At 47.9% G+C, this 20,784-nt stretch overlaps 1 long non-coding RNA gene across 4 annotated transcripts in view, besides 1 other annotated feature; it reads left to right on the forward strand.

The window, feature by feature from the left end:
- TMEM220-AS1 (TMEM220 antisense RNA 1) overlaps positions 1–20,784 on the forward strand; it is an 85,388-nt gene that overhangs the window by 24,264 nt on the left and 40,340 nt on the right. For 2 of the 4 annotated variants that reach the window (NR_073455.1, NR_073456.1), the window contains 2 exons: positions 189–322; positions 12,639–13,012. The exons of 1 other annotated variant lie outside the window; for it this stretch is intronic. This is a non-coding gene — a long non-coding RNA (TMEM220 antisense RNA 1). Of the gene's footprint in view, positions 1–188; positions 323–12,638; positions 13,013–13,824; positions 13,991–20,784 lie in introns of those variants that run through there. One more of the 4 variants, NR_073457.1, reaches the window with a different exon arrangement.
- Positions 132–426: an enhancer, noted in NCBI's record as "tiled region #1671; HepG2 Activating non-DNase unmatched - State 13:Ctcf". NCBI's record gives its function as "activates a minimal TATA promoter and a strong SV40 promoter by Sharpr-MPRA in HepG2 cells {active_cell/tissue: HepG2}" and the evidence as "EXISTENCE:reporter gene assay evidence [ECO:0000049][PMID:27701403]".

Raw genomic sequence — 20,784 nt, forward strand, 5'->3', positions numbered from 1 at the left:
AAAGAAAAAAAAGAATTCTCACCTCCCAGGGTTATGTCTATTTGAAACTTAGAATAATTGCCTCCGTTGGCTGATTTTCCTCTGAAGGAGAAATTATAAAATTTAAGATGGGGAAGGGAGGTGTGGAGAAGGATGCTGGAGATATTCTGGCTACTGCAGTAACTGGATGGCTATCTGCTTTTCTGCAGGCCCCTAAGGTAAAAGCCTTGCTCCAAGTCCCCTTCTGACTTCTAGTCACTTCCGTGCTGCCAGCAGAGGGCGTGGGATTCTTCCTGAGGAGCCTGAGTCTCAGCTTTGCCAGGTCCTTGCTGTGTGACCTTGGGTAAGTTACATAACCTCTCTGAGCCTCAGTTTTCTCAGCCATAAAACAGAGACAATAGTCAGCCCTACATTTCAGGATTGTTGTGAGAAGTAAATAAGACTATGCAAAAGGCCTTTCTTCCCCTTCCTCCTCTTCCATCTGGGGGCCCTGCTCTTCCTTTCTCAAGCTGTCCCTCCTCCCAGCATCTTTCTGAGTCTGCGTGCACTCAGAAAGCTGGCTCCTCTTCCTCATCTACCGGTACCCTTTGGAACACCTGGGGCTACCCTTGCTCACATTGTTATCTCATTACATTCTCATCTCTTACACTGGAAAACTGACCACCTGTATAATCCACATCTGAGCCCAGAGCCAGCACATGGGAGGCCTCTTAATGTTGAATGAAATCGCTTTGCAAACCGCAAAGAGCTTCCAACAGCCCCTTAGCTGTCATCATCCAGGGAAGCATTTGTCATAGCAAAACAACCTACCTCACCAAAAAGTGAAGCGTGCCTGGGTCCAGCCTGTAGAGAGAGGCTAGGGGGAAGGAGTGGATGCAGAGCCCATTTTGTGCCACTGGGGAGAGGAGTCCCGAAAGGCCACTGACTGGGAAGCCCAGGCCTCTGCAAGCCCATGCTGTTCACTCCTTGGTTGGATATAAGTCAAGATCCTCTGAGCCTTCCTCCATCATCTTTCTGCTGTCCAACACCGCAGTATCACTAAGCCCCTCCCCTAGCTGGATAAAGGAGCTCTGCTGGGCTCTTCCTGCCTGCCGCGGGATCTTTGTGTCTCGCGTCTCTGAGATCTTGGTCCCATCACCGACTTGCTCTGTGATTTTGCAAAGGTCACTTAGTTTCTCTGAGCCTTGATTTTCTTATTTATAAAATGGAGTGCCTCAGGAATCAAAGGAAATAGAGCGAATGTCTCCCCTCTTCCCTCAGCTACAGCTCAGGCGCTCTCCACCCTGGCAGCCCAGAAGAATTACCTGGGAGCTTTAAGAACATCTGAATGCCGCCCTGCGGGTCTCCCAGTCGCCTTTCTGACTCAGCGGATCTTCAATGAGACTAGGGCATTGGCTACTTTTTTTAAAGCTCCCCAGGTGATTCATGGGTTGAGTAGGGGCTGAGAACCATTGTGGGCTGCTTGGCCAACAACAGGGCCCCTCTGTCCTGGCTGTTGTCACTCTGTCTGGCTTCACTCCACCTCCCATCCCGCAACCCTGCCTCTTAGAGGCTGCTGAACATCTTACAGTTTCCCAGAGGGCTCTCTCCCTCTCTCCCTCACTCTCCCTCCCTCCCTCTCTCCCTTTTTCTCTCTCCCTCTCTACTCCCTCCTCCTCTGTCTCTTTCTCTTCCTTCTTCTCTTTTTCCCCCTCTTCCTTTTCCTCCCTCTCTCCCTTTCTCTCTTCCTCTCTATCCTCTCCCCCTTCCTCTCTTTCTCCCTCCCTTTCTCTTCTTCTCGCCCTCTCTTTTTTCCTTTCTCCCTCCCTCTCTCTTACCCTTCCTCCTCCTCTCTCTCCCTCTCCCCTTTCTCCCTCTCTTTCTCCCTTTCTCTCTCTTCCTCTCTACCCTTTTTCTTTCTCTCTCTCTCCCTTTCTCTGTCCCCCTCCCCCCTCCTTTTCCTTTCTTCCCCCTCTTTCCCTTCCTCTCTCTCTCTCTCTCTCTCTCTGTCTCTCTCTCGGGTTTCCCTGCCTTTCTATATCACCTTGTTCTCCCTACCCAGACTGCTGTCCTCTAGGCTTAGCTGAGCCCTTCTCATCCTGGGAGCCTCGCCTGGGCCCTGTGTCTGGGGTTGGCCCCCTCCATGCTCCTCCACCCCACCTGCTGCCACCTTGAGTCTTCTCTCTGTGTCTCCTAATAGTCAATGTCTCACTGCCCTGGAGGCCCCTCTGTGGCTTAGAACCTGGCATATGGTGGGAGTTCTGAGTTTGCCAGTCCTGCCTTCCTTCCCTCCCTCTCCTTCGGCCCCCTTGGTCTCTTTCAGCAGTGTTCTCAAGCTTTAGCAAGCATCAGAGTCACCTGGAAGGCCTGTCAAAACACACATTGCTGGGCCCCACCCCCAGGGTTTCCTATTCAGTGCAGGGGAGGAGTAGATGATTTGCAATTCTAACAATTTCCCAGATGATAATGACCCACTCTGAGAGCCACTGCTTTAGAGAAGGGTGTTTCAATCCAGGCACTATGGACATGCTGGGCTGGATAATTCCTTGTTGTGTGCCCTGTCCTGTGCACTGTAGGATGTTGGGCAGCATCCCTGGCCTCTACCCACCAGATGCCAGTAGTAACCCTCCTCCACATGCCACAACCAGAAATGTCTCCAAACCTGGCCAGATATCTCCTATGGGGGCAAAATCACCCCAACATTGAGAACCACTGCTCTAGAACTCTTTGTCCTGGGGGTGGAGTGGACTCTGTGGGGACTTGGCAAGGCCAAGTTCTAAATTACTGTCCTCAAGCCAAATCAGGCCAGCCACCTGTTTTTATAAATAAGGGCTCACTGGAACACACAGCCCCACCCATTCATTGTCATCTTCTTTCTGCTGCTTTCTTGCTACAAGGGTGGAACTGAGTAGTTGCGACAGAGGCCATCTGGTCTGCAAAGTCTGAGACATTCACTATCTGGCTCTTTTCAGAAAAAGTCTACCGACCCCTTTCAGACCCTGAAGGGGTCTGGTAGAATGTGATGTGGTAGAAGGACCGGGGCAGGTGGGCCCACCCACTCTCTTCCATCCAAAGGAAGGGTAGTCCTCCAGGCTGAAGCTAAATAAAGGGCGTCTTCTATCCCCAGGAGTTTCCTATGCTGGGAAGGGGGTTGGGGGTGGCATTGGGCCCGGCAGCCTGGGGCCAGGCTGGGATTTTCCACCACTGCCTGGTTCACGGCCATGTGGTCACCTCCCTTTGACCAGACCTGGGCTCTGCTTATCTACAGGGTAAACAAGAGCTCCGCACACAGCCCCAGGGAGAAGGAACCAAGCGGGTAGATTCTGAGGCAGAGTGGAAGTGTACATAGCATTTGGGTCTGATATGTCAAGGGGAGGACTGGGGAAGAGGGACGTTGGGCTGGTTCTTTCATTCATTTGACATTTATGGAGCATCTGCTGAACCCAAGGCACCATGTAAAAGGCACAGTGAACAAGATACTGTTCTTGTCCTCTTGGATTTTCAGAGTTTGGGGAAAACAAGCAAGGAAGGGATAATTACCCTTGGGGAAGCACAGGGGTGACACAGAGGAGGCTCTAACCCAGTCCTGCTGGTGTGGTTTGAGGGGGCTTTGAAGACAAGACATTCAATACCTATTTTTGAGTCACAAGTCTACTCTGTTCCCCTTCCTTTAATGGGACAGCTTTTAAGCCCCCCAGATTCCTTCCTAAGTGCTCCAGCTATGTATCAGCTCAAGTCTGTGCCCTGATTGTCATACCTCCTTGAGCTAAGCCTCTGCCCCCATCAAGGAGGCCTCAGCTGGCCCCACCCCGTTTCTCTTGTCCAGAGCACGAGGAATGCATGGCAGGCTGTTTGCAGCAACTGAGTAGTCTAGCAAGGGTGCCTCTTCTGGGACATTGCTCATGCCTGTCCCCTCTGCCTGGTTACTGTCCTCCTCCTATCTCCTGGCCCATCTCAATCCAAATCCCACCTTGACTTTTTCACATCCACACAAATGCTCCCTCATCTGTGAAGGGGGATCATAGATTGCAGTTGACTGTGGATGACAGTTGTGCGTGTGCGTGGTTTCAGAACCATGGAGTATTCATCTCTGTACTCTTTATAGCCAAATTTAGCACCACGGTGCTTCCCTGGAAGTTCACAGTAAGGATTTTCTGAGTGAGCCAATGAATAAACGGCATCCTAAGGACTTAAGGGAGATGGCAATGTTGTCTGGTTCTAATTCTTTACACCTGTCCAGCACCAAATAGTTGCAGGGCACTTCGAAACTTGAGCTCGTTAATCACCACCCAGAGGCACAAGGTCAACAGAGTGGGCGTTGCTTACCAATCAGGGTTTTTCACTAGTCCGGGCAATAAGCAAATGGCTTTTTTTGTTTTTGTTTGTTTTGTTTTGTTTTTTTGGTGGTAAGAAAATGGCTTTGGCTAAATTAATCAAAAAGGACAGGTATGGGAAGGGCACAGAGAAGCTCACAGATTTGTGACCCTGACCAATGAAAGAAATTTATTTTACATTGCAACTGATTTTACAGTACACTTATTTATATAACAGAAGTAACATTTAGAAGAATCAGTACTGACCTGAGGCCAAGTGTGGTGGCTTATGCCTGTAATCTAAGCACTTTGGGAGGCTGAGGCGGGAGGATTGCTTGAGCCCAGGAGTTCAAGACCAGCCTGGGCAATATGGTGAAACCCCATCTCTACAAAAAATACAAAAATTAGCTGGGTGTGATGGTGTGTACCTGTAATACCAGCTACTGGGGAGGCTGAGGTGGGAGGATCGCTTGAGCTTGGGAGGTCGAGGCTACAGTCAGCTGTGATGGTGACATTGCACAGCCTGGGTAATGGAGTGAGACCGTCTCAAAACAAACAAATAAACAAAAACTGACCTGAGTTTAAGTTTATATGCTGTATCACTTTTAAAACCTGATGGCCAAGGACCCAGTACACTGATTTCATGTTACCCATAGAGGGTCACAATCTGTGTGTAAAATATTGGTTTAAAGGATAAAGCCAAACTCCTTTGGAATGGTATCAAAGGTTCCTTGGTAACCCAGCCCCTACCCGCCTCCCAGCCCCTACCCGCCTCCCAGCCCCTACCCGCCTCCCAGCCCCTACCCGCCTCCCAGACCTTACCCGCCTCCCAGCCCCTACCCGCCTCCCAGCCCCTACCCGCCTCCCAGACCCTACCCGCCTCCCAGCCCCTACCCGCCTCCCAGACCCTACCCGCCTCCCAGACCCTACCCGCCTCCCAGCCCCTACCCGCCTCCCAGACCTTACCCGCCTCCCAGCCCCTACCCGCCTCCCAGCCCCTACCCGCCTCCCAGCCCCTACCCGCCTCCCAGACGTTACCCGCCTCCCAGACCCTACCCGCCTCCCAGCCCCTACCCGCCTCCCAGACCTTACCCGCCTCCCAGCCCCTACCCGCCTCCCAGCCCCTACCCGCCTCCCAGCCCCTACCCGCCTCCCAGACCTTACCCGCCTCCCAGCCCCTACCCGCCTCCCAGCCCCTACCCGCCTCCCAGCCCCTACCCGCCTCCCAGACCTTACCCGCCTCCCAGACCTTACCCGCCTCCCAGACCTTACCCATTCTTGCCGTTTCAGTTTCTTATAAGTTTCTGTTTCTTTGAATTCCTTTATGTACCCTATGCTGGGTCTCATGCTGGTGCCTTTGCTCACCCCATTCCATCTGCCCAAATTGTCCTCTTCTCCTTCACCACCACCCCCTGCCCCCTACTTTCTTCTTCAAGACTCAGCTTATCTCCTTGGAATAGGTTAGAGCCTCCTCTGTACTCTCAGAGGACCCTGAGTCGGGAACCACCTGTCTCAGCGTCATTTATATTCCCAGACCCTGCCATAGGCCTATTGAGGTGGGGTGGTGAATCTGGACATCTACTGAACTAGCCCAGGTGATCTCTTTTTTTTTTTTTTTTTTGAGACAGAGTCTTGCTCTGTCACCCAGGCTGGAGTGCAATGGCACAGTCTTGGCTCACTGCAGCCTCCGCCTCCCAGGCTCAAGCAATTCTCCTGCCTCAGCCTCCTGAGTTGCTGGGATTACAAGTGCCCGCCACCACACCCGGCTAAGTTTTGTATTTTTAGTAGAGACCGGGTTTCACCATGTTGGTCAGCCTGGTCTCAAACTCCTGACCTCATGATCTGCCTGCCTTGGCCTCACAAAGTGCTGGGATTACAGGCATGAACCGCCTCTCCTGATCTTATCCATGTGCACATTAACATTGGAGACTTACTGGTCTAGAGTGTCAGTTCCTTCATGCTACTGGCTATACTATTTATCCACATATATGCTGTTGTAATGGCTCTCCAGCACCTCACCCCTGTCCTATTTTAGAGGAATTCCCTGTGATATCATCTTTTTTTTTTTACTTTTTAATTTCAAAATTATTACTTATTTATGGGTTTTGTTTTTTTTTTTTTGACGTAGTCTTGCTCTGTCGCCCGGGCTGGAGTGCAATGGCGAGATCTCAGCTCACTGCAACCTCTGCCTCCTGGGTTCAAGCAATTCTTCTGCCTCAGCCTCCTGAGTAGCTGGGATTACAGGCGCCCACCACCATGCCTGGCTAGTTTTTTTATTTTTAGTAGAGATGGGATTTCACCATGTTGGCCAGGTTGTTCTCAAACTCCTGACCTCAGATGATCCACCTGCCTCAGCCTCCCAAAGTGCTGGGATTACAGGTATGAGCCACCACACCAGGCCTATTTATGTTTTTTTTAGAGACAGAGTCTTGCTGTGTCACCCAGCCTGGAATGCAGTGGCATGGTCATAGCTCACTGCAGCCTTGCACTCTTGAACCCAAGCGATCCTCCTGCCTCAGCCTCCTGAGTAGCTGGGACCATAGGTGTGTGCAACCATGCGTATCTAACCCTGCCATAGCATCTTGATGGAAGACAAAACCCATTTCTCCATAGCATCTGAAAAATTCTGCTAGCCCAGTTCCCTGGCACAGGGGACATGGACATGTGGCCTTGTCTCAGTCAAGCAGTCTCACTAACCCAAGACTTTGAATCAGGAGCTGGTGACCCAAAGCAGCAGAGAAGGTGGAGAATGCTTTGGTGGTGGCATCTCCAAGGGTCCAGTTCCCAGAAGCAACTGCGGTGCAGTGAGCTGGGGACCCCGGCACTCACACGGCGGGGGAGGATGGCTGGCTCTTTGGCATGAGTTTGGCTTAGTCTCCCTATCAGCTTCCCATTCTCAGAATCTGGCTCTCCAGTGTTCGTGGCCATTTGGGGACCCAGTTGATAGCCTCTCAATTAACTACCTTTCTCCTTAAATGTACCAGAGTAGACTTTCTTTGACACTTACAAGTATGAAAACCCCATAGATACACCAGCACCTACACATGGTAAATATTTGCTGATACAGGAGTAAGTCACCCCAAAGCTCAGGGCTGCCATTCCAGCTTTCATCTCAATCTCATTTAAGTGCACCCTTGGCCCCACCCCAAGCACCTGGCAACCCAACCCTTAACCTTGGCCGTTGGCTTTGTCATTCCAGCCAGTGAGGCCTAATGGCAGAGTCACAGCTTGTGTATCTTCTTTAGGGAGACAAACTTAATCCCGTCTGTCCTCAGGATGGCTGTGGGTAAGGGTGTGACAGGTAGGCAGGCTTGTGGAGGGGGTAGAGACCTGCTCCCACTGGAGCAGAGAAAATGGATAAATGGATTTAAGCTTTCAGTATCCCCATGTAAAACTCAGAAATGCAGCAATTAGAATGTTCTGTGGCTTTGGCTGGCTAACTAAGTGCATGCAACTGTCCTCTGGGGATAGGGATTCTTGTGGAGAAAACACATTTTCTTCTCACTGATGATCATCTCCCACGTCTAACAGTCCCCAGCCAACCAGCTGAGATCAGTGAATAAGACTTGAAGGTGCATCAGAAAGAGAAAACCAACCAGTGCTGGGGACACCTCTAAGGCCCCTGCATACTCACTGGCTGCCATGCTGTTTGAGGGGTGGTGAAATGATAACAGTGGCAGAACAATAACTCCATGTCAGATCTGGCAGAAAGTGAAAAGCATCCTCAAATGGAGCCATTGCAGAGAGTCCAGTCAAGGAACTCTTTTCCAGGGTGTGGACAGGATGAAGAGAAGGCAGTTAAGAGCTTTGAGGAAGCACCAGGACTGACAATAACCAGGAGCCAATCCCTACTACTTCTAGGCTCCAGGGGTGAGGAGATGGAGCTGGAACTGGAATCTGGAGAGGATTGTTGGAGGAGAGGGCTGCCTGGCTGGGGCTGTGGCCTTGAGTGGAGAGGTACACCACTGGGACCCAGCAGGGAGGGAACGGGGAATAAATACCCCAACCTCTTTCTCCTCCCTCCTGCCTTCAGTTTCCTGTCAGTGCTTCTTACTGGTTCCAGCCAGCTGCAAGTCCAAGGGAATGGGCACCATTGATGTGGTCCATAAAGGCTAACCTACTGGAGCATGGAGCAGAGAGGAGTGGAGAGTGGATCAGGAGGGGCAAATAGAGAAAATCCACATAACAGCATAGAGAAGGCTTCCTATGAGCTGTTACGAGTACAGTGTGTATGGAAACTCATGTGATTCTGGGAAGAAGCCTAGGGACTAGTATTATTCCCATTTTAAGGATTGGGGAAACTGAGGCACAGAGAAGTTAAATAAGTTACCCAAAGTAAGTGTGAGCGTAGCTGCCATTCAGACCCAGGCAATCGGGATCCAGAAAGTGTTCTTAACCACTATGTTCAGCTGCCCAATAAGGTAGTCACGAGCTACATACAGCTTCTTAAATATATATCATTAACATGAAAAACAGCAAAAAATTCATCAAGTTCCATGAGCTACATTCAAGTGCTCACTGGCTGCATGTGGTTAGTGGCTGCCCTGTGGGATAGCACAGATATAGAACATGTCCCCCTCCCAGTGAGTTCTGTTGGACAGTTCTGCACCAGGCCTGGACACCTGACCTGGATCCTTTCAACCCTTGAATTCTCTGCAAAACGCACTCATCCATACTCCTATCAGTAGTTGTGGTGTTCCTGGCATGGAAAGGACGGGGGTCAGTCTGATTTGAAGATTCTTAGGACATTTCATTGACCTCCTGATGGCTGCCAGATAATGTAGCCTCATATAAAACTGAGATCGTTTTTTGTTTTTGTTTTTGTTTGAGATGGAGTCTCGCTCTGTCGTCCAGGCTGGAGTGCAATGACACGATCTCTGCTCACTGCAACCTCTGCCTCCCAGGTTCAAGCAATTCTCCTGCCTCAGCCTCCTGAGTAGCTGGGATTACAGGCACCTGCCACCACACCAGCTTTTTTTGTTTTGTTTTGTTTTGTTTTGTTTTGTTTTGTATCTTTAGTAGAGATGGGGTTTCGCCATGTTGGCCAGGCTGGTCTTGAACTCCTGGCCTCAAATGATCCGCTCACCTCGGCTTCCCAAAGTGCTAGGATTACAGATGTGAGCCACCGCACTGAGATCGTTTTATATGGGCCATGCCTTTTCTCACATTCTAAAATTCCTTTCTTATTCTGTCCTTTCCTATCATAATATCAAGGACATCCCATAATAAGCAAAAGCATTTCTATCAAAGGTGACAGAAAAAGTGACTGGCACATTTGGCCATCTTGTCCCCACCCCATTTTGGAGATATTTGTCTTCAGGGCTTAGGGGACACTGGCATCCTGTGATGTACAGCATCCTTCCATCAGCTCCCATGAGAAATTCTCTGTTGGGTTTAAGCAATCCCCAAATATATCATATTGACATGAATATATCATCTCCTCAATGTCCAGCATTAGCAGACAAGATGAGTGCTGAAGATGATATAACTCCTACCTCTTATGTAGGCTAGAGGTAAAGTCTGGCTCTGTCTGACTGTGGGGACATAGCGAAAAGGAATGTGGGTTAATATCAGATGACCTCCCCTGCAGATACAGAGATGCAGGGTCTGTACTTTCTGGGAGAGGAAGCAAAAAGTTATCTCTGAACCACTGATAAGTCAACCTCCCAGCAAAAATGAATGCTAGCTTTTATATATACATTCTCTCTCACGCACGATCCGTGTATACCTTTCCACACATATTACTATGCTGTGTATAATCCCTGTTAAGTGTCTCTGTGAACATTTTTGCATTTCATTTTATTGCAAATAATCATCACAAATAACCTTCACTGTTGCTTTTTGTGCAAAAAACTCTGTGCACTTACTATATTATCTCAATTCTCACAACAGTAACGATAAGATAGAAACCATCGCTATTCCTATTTCACAGAGGGAGAGAATATACTGCTTAGGGTCACACAGCCAATTTAGTGGCGGAACTAGGATGATAGCTAGATCTGTTTGACTACAAACTCATGCTCTTCCCACAATTACACTATGCTATAGCAGAGTTTTGCAAGCCCTTTTTGGCTGTGGAATGCACTCAGGGAGCTTTTCCAGAAGCCTAATAGGTGAAATAGACAAAAGTTGAGCTGGATTGGTTGAAATGCAAGTGCAAAGCTGCCAGTCTCGTGTGCTCTTGTCCCCTGGCCACCCTCCCACCAGACATAACCACTGAAACACCTCAGGGATCCACTTGGACTCAGAAAAGGCCAGTTTGCAAAACACTGTCTACATATCCCTTTAACAGACTGCATAGGATTTACCTTTTTATTTGAGACAGAGTTTTGCTCTTGTTGCCCATGCTGAAGTGCAATGGCGCGATCTCGGCTCACTGCAACCTCTGCCTCCCGGGTTCAAGGGATTCTCCTGCCTCAGCCTCCCAAGTAGCTGGGATTACAGGCATGTGCCACCACGCCTGGCTAATTTTGTATTTTTAGTAGAGACGGGGTTTTTCCATGTTGGTCAGGCTGGTCTTGAACTCCCGATCTCAGGTGATCCGCCCACCTCAGCCTCCCAAAGTGCTGGGATTACAGGCGTGAGCAACCGCGTCTGGCCAGGATTTACCTTTATGGATGTAGCATCATTAATGCACCAGGTGGCGTCCTGCTGTGATAAGGAGTCTTGATGATACATTTTGAACACTTTCATGATATTTTTCTGATAAATTTATAGAAGTGAAATGTTTTTGTTAAAATATGTGCCCATTTTAACCCCAAACTCTCCTTTGCAAAGGTGAAACTGCATAAATTCACATCTGCAGTGCCAGATTCTGCACATTTTTCCTGCATCGGGATATTACTATTTAAAATCATTTTTTTTCCAATTGTCTATGCAGGGGTACATTGCAATTGTTTCAATTTGCATTTTTTTGATTATTAAAAAATCAGACAAAATCTCTACTTGCTTTTCTTCTTTTACACATAACCAGTTCATACTCTTTGCATTTTATTTTTCCCCTATTAGAGCAGTGGTTTTTATTATCTGTTTGTAAAAGTTATTTATAATGTAGGATTATTAATCCTTTATATGAATGTAGACTGTCAGATATTCATATATATCATGTGTCATATAGAATATGTCATATTGAATTTTATCTTTTATTGTGTTTTTGATTTACAGATGTTCTAATTTTTAAGACCATGGGGCCAGATAAACACTCACCTATATCTTTTACATTTTTGATTATTTTTAAACCTTAAATATTTATTTATTTATTTAGTTAGTTAGTTTAAAAATGAATATATTACAAATAGAGATGGGGACTCACATTGTTGCCCTGGCTGATCTCGAACCCCTGGGGCTGAAACAATCCTCCTGCCTTGGCGTCCCAAAGTGCTGGGATCACAGGTGTGAGCCACCACACCCAGCCAAAGCCTTAAATTATTTAATTCATCTGAAATTCAATTTGTTATGTCATATAAGGAAGTGAACTAATTTTATTTCATTTTCCTTCTTTTTTTTTTTTTTGGAGACAGAGTCTCGCTGTGTTGCCCAGGCTAGAGTGCAGTGGTGTGATCTCTGCTCACTGCAATCTCCACCTCCCAGGTTCAAACGATTCTCCTGCCTCAGCCTCCCGAGTAGCTGGGATTACAGGCACGTACCACCACGCCCAGCTAATTTTTGTATTTTTAGTAGAGAAGGGGTTTCACCATGTTGGCCAGGCTGGTCTTGAACCCCCAACCACTGGTGATCCGCCCGCCTCGGCCTCCCAAAGTGTTAGGATTACAGGTGTGAGCCACCTCTCCCGGCTTTTATATATATATATATATATATATATTATATATTTCATTTTCTTATCTGATTGCAATGGCTTGTACTTATATTATTAAAATTTAGCACAGTGACTCTCAACCACCATTGCCCCTAAGTGCGTGTTGGGCAATGTGTAGGGACATTTTTGGTTGTCATAACTAGCAGTGAGGAGGGAGGGGTGTGTGTTACTGGCATCCAGTAGCTAGCTACAGGCCAGGGGTGCTGCTACATATCCTATAATGCATAGTCACCCACAACAAAGAATTATCTGGCCTAGAACATCAGTAGAGCTGAGATCAAGAAAACTTGTGTTAACTATTAGTGGAATCAGCAAGTCCCTTTTGCTTTTTGTGTTTTTCTCGTTGCAAACCAGATCTTCATTTGTTAAAGACAGCTTGCCCTAATATATCAGATCCTCCTGGAAATTTATTGTCTACCACAGACAGAGTGATGCAGACAGTGCTATGAGGAATATGCAGACTCTTGGGTCAATGCTGAATAAGAAATAAAGCAAAGCAATGCAGACATAAATTACACGTTAACAGTATATGCTGTTCTTCCTTTCTTAAGGCACCTGTGCTCCCTTGACAAAGAGGAATAAAACCTCTTCAGACTACTCTCCTATCGATTCTCTCCTGGAACATATGACCACCATCAATTATAGGCAAGAACATGAACACGGGAGTCCCAAAGACTTGGGTTCAAATGTCAGCCCCTTCACTCGCTGGCTGTAGGTGTGAGGCCCTGGGTAAGGTCCTTACCTCCCCAAGTGTCTGAGCCTGTTCCCGTATAATGTTCACTTGCCTTGAATATCATGAAATGTACATTAGACTTTGTAAGTAAACACCTAGCTGAGTATCTGGAGCATAGTAAGTGCTTATCACACATTCCATGGAGTCCCAGACACGAGCAACTAATGCTCCTGCCGTCCGCTCAGTTTGAGAAAGGGATGAAGTGCAACCTGGATTCTCGTGGATCATTGCAATGGCAAAGCTTCTGGGAATCCAGGAACCAAGAGAGGAGTCCAGCAGCAAACACCTGGCCGGGGCTTTATGTCAATTACTTTTTAAACGTTTACCACAAACCTATGAGAGAAGTAATTTTATTATCCTCATTTTACAGATGAGGGAGCTGAGGCACAGCAGTTACTACTTGCCCAATGTCACTGAGCTAGTAAATGGCAGAGTTTGGATTCTAGAGTCCTGCGTTTTACCACCTAGTCATGCTGCCTCACCACCCTTCTTGCCTGTGCTCCCCAGCAGCTCAGCTGAGGCGCCCTCCCCAGGCCACTCCCACCTCCAAGTTTATTCCCATAGCCCCCGTCAGTGAGGACACCAAGTCCTGCACTTTGAGCTTGAGGCCTCTGCTATGGACAGCACTGGGTGATGCTGGGGAGAAGCGGCTGAGGTTTCATCTGTGGTTTATGCTCAAAGCAGCTGCTGGGTGGGCCACCAATTGGCAGAAGTAGCTTTCTAATCAAGCACACTTGCAAAGGGTCTCATACTTCCCAGTATCTGGGAACTGTCCCCAAGGAGCTCAGATGGCAGCCTGGCTGGCTTCATGATCTTGGGAAATGTAGTTAGCCTCTCCATGCCTTAGCTGGCCGTTGGGAGGAGATTCAATTACATGGGAAGGAATGAACCTGCACCCTGCAGGGCCTGCCTCTTAATCACCGGCTGGAATAAGCAAGCACCTAAGAAACAGGAAGGCTACCCTGGCCAGGACCTCATTAACTTAATCCTGTTGGTCTCCTCAGCTCCTGTGGGGCTATTGCAGAGGAGAAACTTCTGGAACAGAGAGCTCCTTGTCCAGGGATGCTGCATCTGGGTGAGCTGCTCCTTGGATATGGTGCAAGTGTGGCCAGGGTGTGGTGTGGAAGGAGCAGAAGTCTTCAGGACTGAATCTGGATGGACCACTGTGACAGCTGTATACCCAGGTGGTACCAGTTTCCCTCTCTGCAGAAGTCCCCCCAACAGCACCATTCTCAGTGCCATACCTGGCCTCATCAGGGCTCTGATGCAAGACACTGTATATGCAGAATATATTATTTCATCCTCACAACAGTTCTGTATCTTCCACATTTTATAGGCTAAGGAAATAGGCTCAGGGTAGTCAAGTAGCTTTCCCAAAGGCACACAGCAGCAGAAGGGGATTTGAACCCAATTTGGGCTATCTCCAAACCCCACACTTTCGGAATAACTGTGGAGGTATCAGGATGCATCTATTATATGTCAGGGGACTGCTAGAGACTCAAAGCCCTCCCCTCCTGTCCATAGGAAAGGAGAGACCCCTTAGTACTGATTGCTTTGGTGGGGCTCTGGCACTCCGCAGTGATCACCTATAGGAAAACATGGAGTATCAGAATATTGGTCTCTCAGGAACCTGGCTTTGTGGGGTGGTTTGAGGCAGTAGTTGCCCCTTCATATGTGCACCCAGGCCCCTGCCAGACAGGTAATCACATTGCCTCCTCCTTGTGGCAGATTATATTTCCCAGAAAGTGCCTGCAACAATACTTCCAGTCCCATATGTGCTTCTAGAGCCGGTCACTCTCTCAGTTTAAAGGTGGAGTCTATTTCCCTTCCCCTTAAGACTGCCTCAGTGGTTAGACTATGGCAAGAAAGATATCATGTGACTTCCAAGACAAATCCTAAAAGGCAACACAGCTTCCACCTGGCTCTTTCTATTTTGAGCCACTTACCTATGGAACACCAGCCACCATGTTGGAAGGAAGCCCAGGTGACATGGAGAAGCATCTGTGAGTGCTCTGGCAGGCACGCCAGCTTGAATCTCAGCCATCAGCCAGCATCAACCACCAGATGCGTGAGAGAGAGCCTTCACATGACTTCAGGCCTCAGCCTGCAAGCTGTCCCAGCTTATGCTGAGTGAGCACAGACAACCTATCCCTGCTGAGCCCTGTCCAGTCTGCAGATTTCTGAGCAAAATAAATGATGTTATTGTTTTAAGCCACTGAGTTTTGGCATAGTTTGTTATGCAGCCATAGTAACTGGAATATCCTGAATTCATTGTTTCCAGTACAGCCCATTATGCTCACACACAGGGCTGCCCACCCAGGTTGTTGCTCAGCACAGGCTCTGGGCTCACTTGGTCCAGAGCTAAGGGCTGTGTTAGCCTGAAGAGGTGCCTTTTTGTAAGTGGTCTTGCCCGGAGAGCACCATTTCCTTTTTCCTACAGGGGTACTGCATGGGCTAGCTGCCTCCCTGCTCACAGATATTAAGATTCTAGAACATGTTTGTTGTTGTTGTTGCTTTGTTTTTGTTTTTAGAGCCAGGATTTTGCTTCGTTGCCCAGGCTGGAGTATGGTGGTGCTATCATAACCCACTGTAACCTCACACTGCTGGTCTCAAGTGATCCTCCTGCCCCAGTCTCTCGAGTAGCTAGGACTACAGGGATGTACCTCCACACTTGGCTAATTTATTTTTTATTTTTTGTAGAGATGGGGTCTTGCTGTATTACCCAGGCTGGTCTTGAACTCCTGGTCTCAGGTGCTTCTCCCACCTCGGCCTCCCAAAGTGTTGGGATTACAGGTGTGAGTCACTGCACCCACCCAGAGTGTTTTTCTTAGTGTTGAGTAAAACCTCCACTCTTTAATTTCCATTCACTTGTCCTAATTCTATTGTCTGGGTGTCATGTGGAATTAATCTGGTTTCTTTCTGGTGTCTTGATGGTCGAAGATGTCACTCATGATCTCCCTGAACTTTCACCTTGTCTTGGCTAAGACCTCGCTGTTCTTCTGGCCTTTCCTCTTAGAAAGAAAGCTTCTTAGGCTTATCACCATCCTGGCTTTCCTTCCTCCCTTCAGTACCTTCAGTACCTTCCTTTGATCTCTGGCAAAGGCTGGCTCCCAAGTGGGCGCTGTCCCTAGAGAGAATCTGGCCTGCATTTGACACCAGTACTCAGCAGGCTGGCGTTTTCCTAGTTGTCTTGAAAGGTCAGTTTAAGCAGGCATTGGAACAGGAGAGGAACAGCCTCTGCTCCTGGGGCATGTGGCTGGAGACTCCTTGCTGCCCAAAAGACATAGTCCCACTCCTTGTGCCTGGGAAGCCAGGCCAACCAGTCACCACTGCTGCTCTCGGCCACCCCTGCCCGCTGCTCACTGTCCGAGGGTGCAGAGCTGGGCCTATATTTTCCCATGAGGCCATAACTCTGCATCAGCCGCAGCAACCATGAGCTCTATCTGGTTTCAAGACAATTTCATCACCCCTAATGGAGACTCCACACCCCTTAAGCAATTACTCTCCATTCCTCCCATCCGCAACCATGAATCTGTGTTCTGTTTCTATGGATTTGCCTATTCTGGACATTTCATACACTATGTGGCCTTTTGTGTCTGACTTCTTTCACTACGAGGTTCATCTACCTCAAAGCATCTGTTTCTACCCCAGGCCTAGTTAGTCATGCTGGTCCTGGCCAGCGGTTGGTCCCTTCCTCTATGTTCTAGCCAGGGTGAACTTAAAAATTGTCACTGGGTCTGGATGTTGGGGATCAGCAAACGTGGGTCACTGCCAGGAGTACCAGGCCCCGAATCCATCTTTCCATTCTGGGTGAGGAAGATGGATGGGGAGGGATTTTCTGAGCTTGGATTCTTTCTTCAACCCTTGGCCACTCAGAGCTGGGGTATGGGTGAGGCCCTCTAAGAGAGTGGTGTGGGGTGAAGCCCTCCCTGGCCTCCAGCTGCCACCTCAGGATCTTTGCATCTCCTGTCCCCATTCTTTGCCCAGATGTTGGCATACCGCCTCCTAACCACCTTTACTCAGACAACACCTCCTCTGCTGCTCGGCCTTAAATTCCAACTCTTCATCTTGCTTTTTCTTGCTTTTTTTCTTAGCATTAATCACTAGCTGGAGTGTGTGTATGTGTGTGTGTGTGTGTGTACTGTTATTTATCTTGTTTTCTGTCTTTCCATTCAACCAGAATGGAACTCCCATAATTGTGTCTTTGGTCTGCTACTATGCACCCAGTGTCTGGCACATAGTGAGTGCTTGATGAGTATTTATTGAATGGATGCATGGATGTCTGACATTCATGCCCAGGGGACCTGCAGCCTTGATGCTGGTGCCATCCTAGCCTCGAGTGTGGAGGTAAGCCTGAATTTGGACATACGGCTACCTTCCTTAGCCCCAGCATCACTGGCTTCAATGCAGGTATGGCCAGAGCCTGCTCCAGCTAGGCCAGGGGTCTGGCCAGACAGGTCTGGGGAGGAAGGCAGGTGTCTGACTGTAGACTTGAATTTAACCCAGTCTTTGCCAAAGAAAATGTTGTGTGACTTGCACAAGTGAAACTTGAAGTTCTGTAAATCCAGTTGCTCCAGTTTTCTGTGTGGACAACTCAGGGGGAGCATTTTCCTGAGTGACATGTGCTGGTTGACCTGAGATCATTCTGGGTGTTTCATTCCTCTGATCAGAGAGAGCAGGGAATAGACTTAGGTTTGGGAGATTTTCCTGAATTCTGATATCTGACAAGTGTGATGAATAGTGTTCAACAAACACGAAGGAGATCTTTAGTCCTGGAGTGGAAGAGTAGGAACCTGAGGCACTCCCGTTTAGGTTTGGGTGTGGATTATAGGAGGGAGAGTCCTAGTCCAGGAAAGCAGGCTGTGTTCCTCGTATATTATGAAGTTGTCGGCTGTGTGTGTCTATGGCTATGTGTGTTTCTGTGTGTGTCTCTGTGTATCTGTGTGTTTGTGTGTCCATGTGTGTCTTTGTGTGCTTATCTTCGTGTCTCTGTGAGTTGAATAAATGGGGATCTGAGGGGCAGTTCTGGGTTCTTTGTCCATGGCAGTCGAGATGATCTCTGGTGTGCCTGGTGTTTTAGTGGCAATTTAGCTCTCTGAGATGTAAGCATAATTGCTTTCTGTCCTTCTGTTTTATTTCTCTAACAGTGGTTTTCAACCCTGGCTGCACATTAGTCCCATCTGGAGAGCTTTATAAAATACTCGTGTGTGGGTATCACAGCACACCAGTTAAATCAGAGTCTCCAGATGTGGGACCAGGGCACTGGTATGTTTCTGAAGCTTGACAGGTAACTCTAATTGCAACCAATGTAAGGTGTGTTCTGAAACCCTTTAGTGAGGATTAGGGGGAACCACACTAAACTTGAGACCTGGAGGTTTTGTTACTGGCTCCATCATTAAGTTGCCTTTGACCTTGAACAGGCCACTTTGTCTTTCTGGTCCCTTAATTTTTTTTTCTTTGGTAGGATGCAGATAATTGCATTATCCACATGGATGTGCTTCCTGCATGGTTGTAAGGTCAAATGTGTGAAAGGGCTTTGTGCATTCTGAAAGGATACAAGAACGCAAGAAAATATTATTAGCATTATTTGTGTTAGCCCCTTGTAGAGACCCAAAAAATGGGGCCAGAGATGGGCGTACAATTACAGCAAGATCGTAGTGAAAGAAAAACCGAGGAGCACATCCTGCTACTCTGATTTAGTTTTCCCAAGACCAGGCAAAGCCAAGAACGCCTATGCTTGTAATTCCAGAAGCTGACACTAGGGGGTGCCCGATTCATGGCATGGATGGCAAAGATCTCATTTGACGACAATTTCCTGTTCCCTTTGGTTAAAATAGTTTGGCAGGGCTCAGTGGCTCGCTCTTGTTTGTCCCCAGCTGTATGCAAGGAGGATCCTTGAGTCCTGGAGTTTGAAGCTGCAGTGAGCTATGATCATGCCACTGCATTCCAGCTTGGGCAGCAGAGTGAGACATGGTATTTAAAAAAATAAAAGTAAAATAATTTACTAAAATAACCATTTAGATATTAAGGTGAGAGTGTAAATGCCTTTCTCACACTATCTCTGTGCAGTCAGATGGTGGTTTTCATTCTGCCCAAGTTCCCTTCCTATGTTCCACCTCTCTTGATTCTTCTGGCCTTTGTAGTAAAAATCCTTCTTGGGCCTGAAGCTGGGCTTGCCCACTCAGATTTCAGAGAAACATCAAACAGCTTTGGTTGCTGGCAATGAACCAGGGAGGAGGCCTATCTGGCTCCTCTGCAGACTTAATTAGCTCTTGAGCTGCTCTTTCTGTCAATCTGGCCTTCTCTGCTCCTCCCTCCCTCTTGCTTTTAAGGAGAGAATCTCATTTTCTGCTCCCAGGGGCCCATTCTTTGCAAGCCACTTTAGCTTTCTTTCCTTTCTGTGATCAGGAAAGCCGGATGTAGATGTCAAGGAGGGTAATTGTAAAAGCTGACTGACACTTTTTCTTTCTGCAATTAGGGAAGCGTGACTTTGACAACTAAGCCAAATCATTCATTCCCCTGCCTTTGAAACTCACCCCTGGGTACAAGTTATTTTGCATAAAATTACTCAATATTTTCATAGAACCAACCCGGGGACTGCTACCCAGTTTTCTTCTGAGTCTAGGTCATTTGTTTGTTTGTTTGTTTTTTTCTTCTCTTTTTCTAAGTATTTGAAAACACATCTGAAATACACAGTTGCCAATGTTATGGGTCAGTTGCTATAAATACAAACTTTTTGGAACAATGCACATGAAATGATGAACAATGAATGCCTCTGGGGACAAGACTGGATGTTTGAGCTGGTTCATGTTCTCGTATAAAATCTTCTAAAAGCAGGGAGCTTGGGGTACCTTAGCTGACTCAATACCATCTTACCTTCACTCCTTCAGGCCTTAGAGAAAAGGATTAGAAGGAGGGGACTTCTTTCACCCTACGGTCACGCAAGCAGACCAGGTCCCCAGCTATCCTTTCTTGTAGCTTTATGGGAATATGGAGAGTGGGTTTTCCAGGTGAGGTGCTCAGAAACCAAGGAAGGAAGACCCTGGGCAAATTGCTAAATGCCAGATGCTGTCAAAGCAAAGTCCTCATGGACCCCAGTGGGAGGAAGAGCTTGTGTGGTGACCCAGTGTAGACAGGACCCCATGTAGTTTCTGGACTCTGGAACAAGATCCTTGACTGCCATCTTTTGTCAGGTCCTCTTCACCCTTTCCCTCTACCCTCACTTCTTCCCAGCTGCATACCCTTCCCCTTCTTGAGCAAATTCTATGGAATCTTGACCCAGCTCCCTGTCAATCCATTCTCATAACACCTGCCTTTCTCTCTTTCCTTCTTTCTGGAGTCTCCTTTTCCATTTCTGAGAAATTCTTCCTTTCTCCAGGGGCAAGTCTTTCTACTTCTCTCCTTCTTTCTTTCTCTTTTTTTCTTTCTCTGTCTCTCTTTTTTTTTTTTTTTTGAGACAGAGTCTTGCTCTGTTGCCCAGACTGGAGTGCAGTGGCACAATATCAGCTCATGGCAACCTCTGCCTCCCAGGTTCAAGTGATTCTCCTGCTTCAGCCTCCTGAGTAGCTGGGACTACAGGCACATGCCACCGTGCCTGGCTATTTTTTTTTTTTTTTTTGTATTTTTAGTAGAGACGGAGTTTCACCCTGTTAGCCAGGATGGTCTCGATCTCCTGACCTCGTGATCCGCCAGCCTTGGCCTCCCAAAGTGCTGGGATTACAGGCGTGAACCACCGTGCCTGGCCTCTTTCTTTTTCTTGAGACAGGGTCTCGCTCTGTCACCCAGGCTGGAATGCAGTGGCACAATCACGGTTCACTGCAACCTCGAACTCCTGGGCTCAAGAACTTCTCCCACTTCAGCCTCCCGAGTAGCTGAGAATACAGGCACGCACTATCACACCTGGCTTTGTTCTTTCATTGTAGACCATCATGGCCCCTTAGACCTGACCTGAAATCACCAAAGAC

Source organism: Homo sapiens, chromosome 17 (assembly GCF_000001405.40).
Source record: "Homo sapiens chromosome 17, GRCh38.p14 Primary Assembly".
Taxonomy (NCBI): domain Eukaryota; kingdom Metazoa; phylum Chordata; class Mammalia; order Primates; family Hominidae; genus Homo; species Homo sapiens.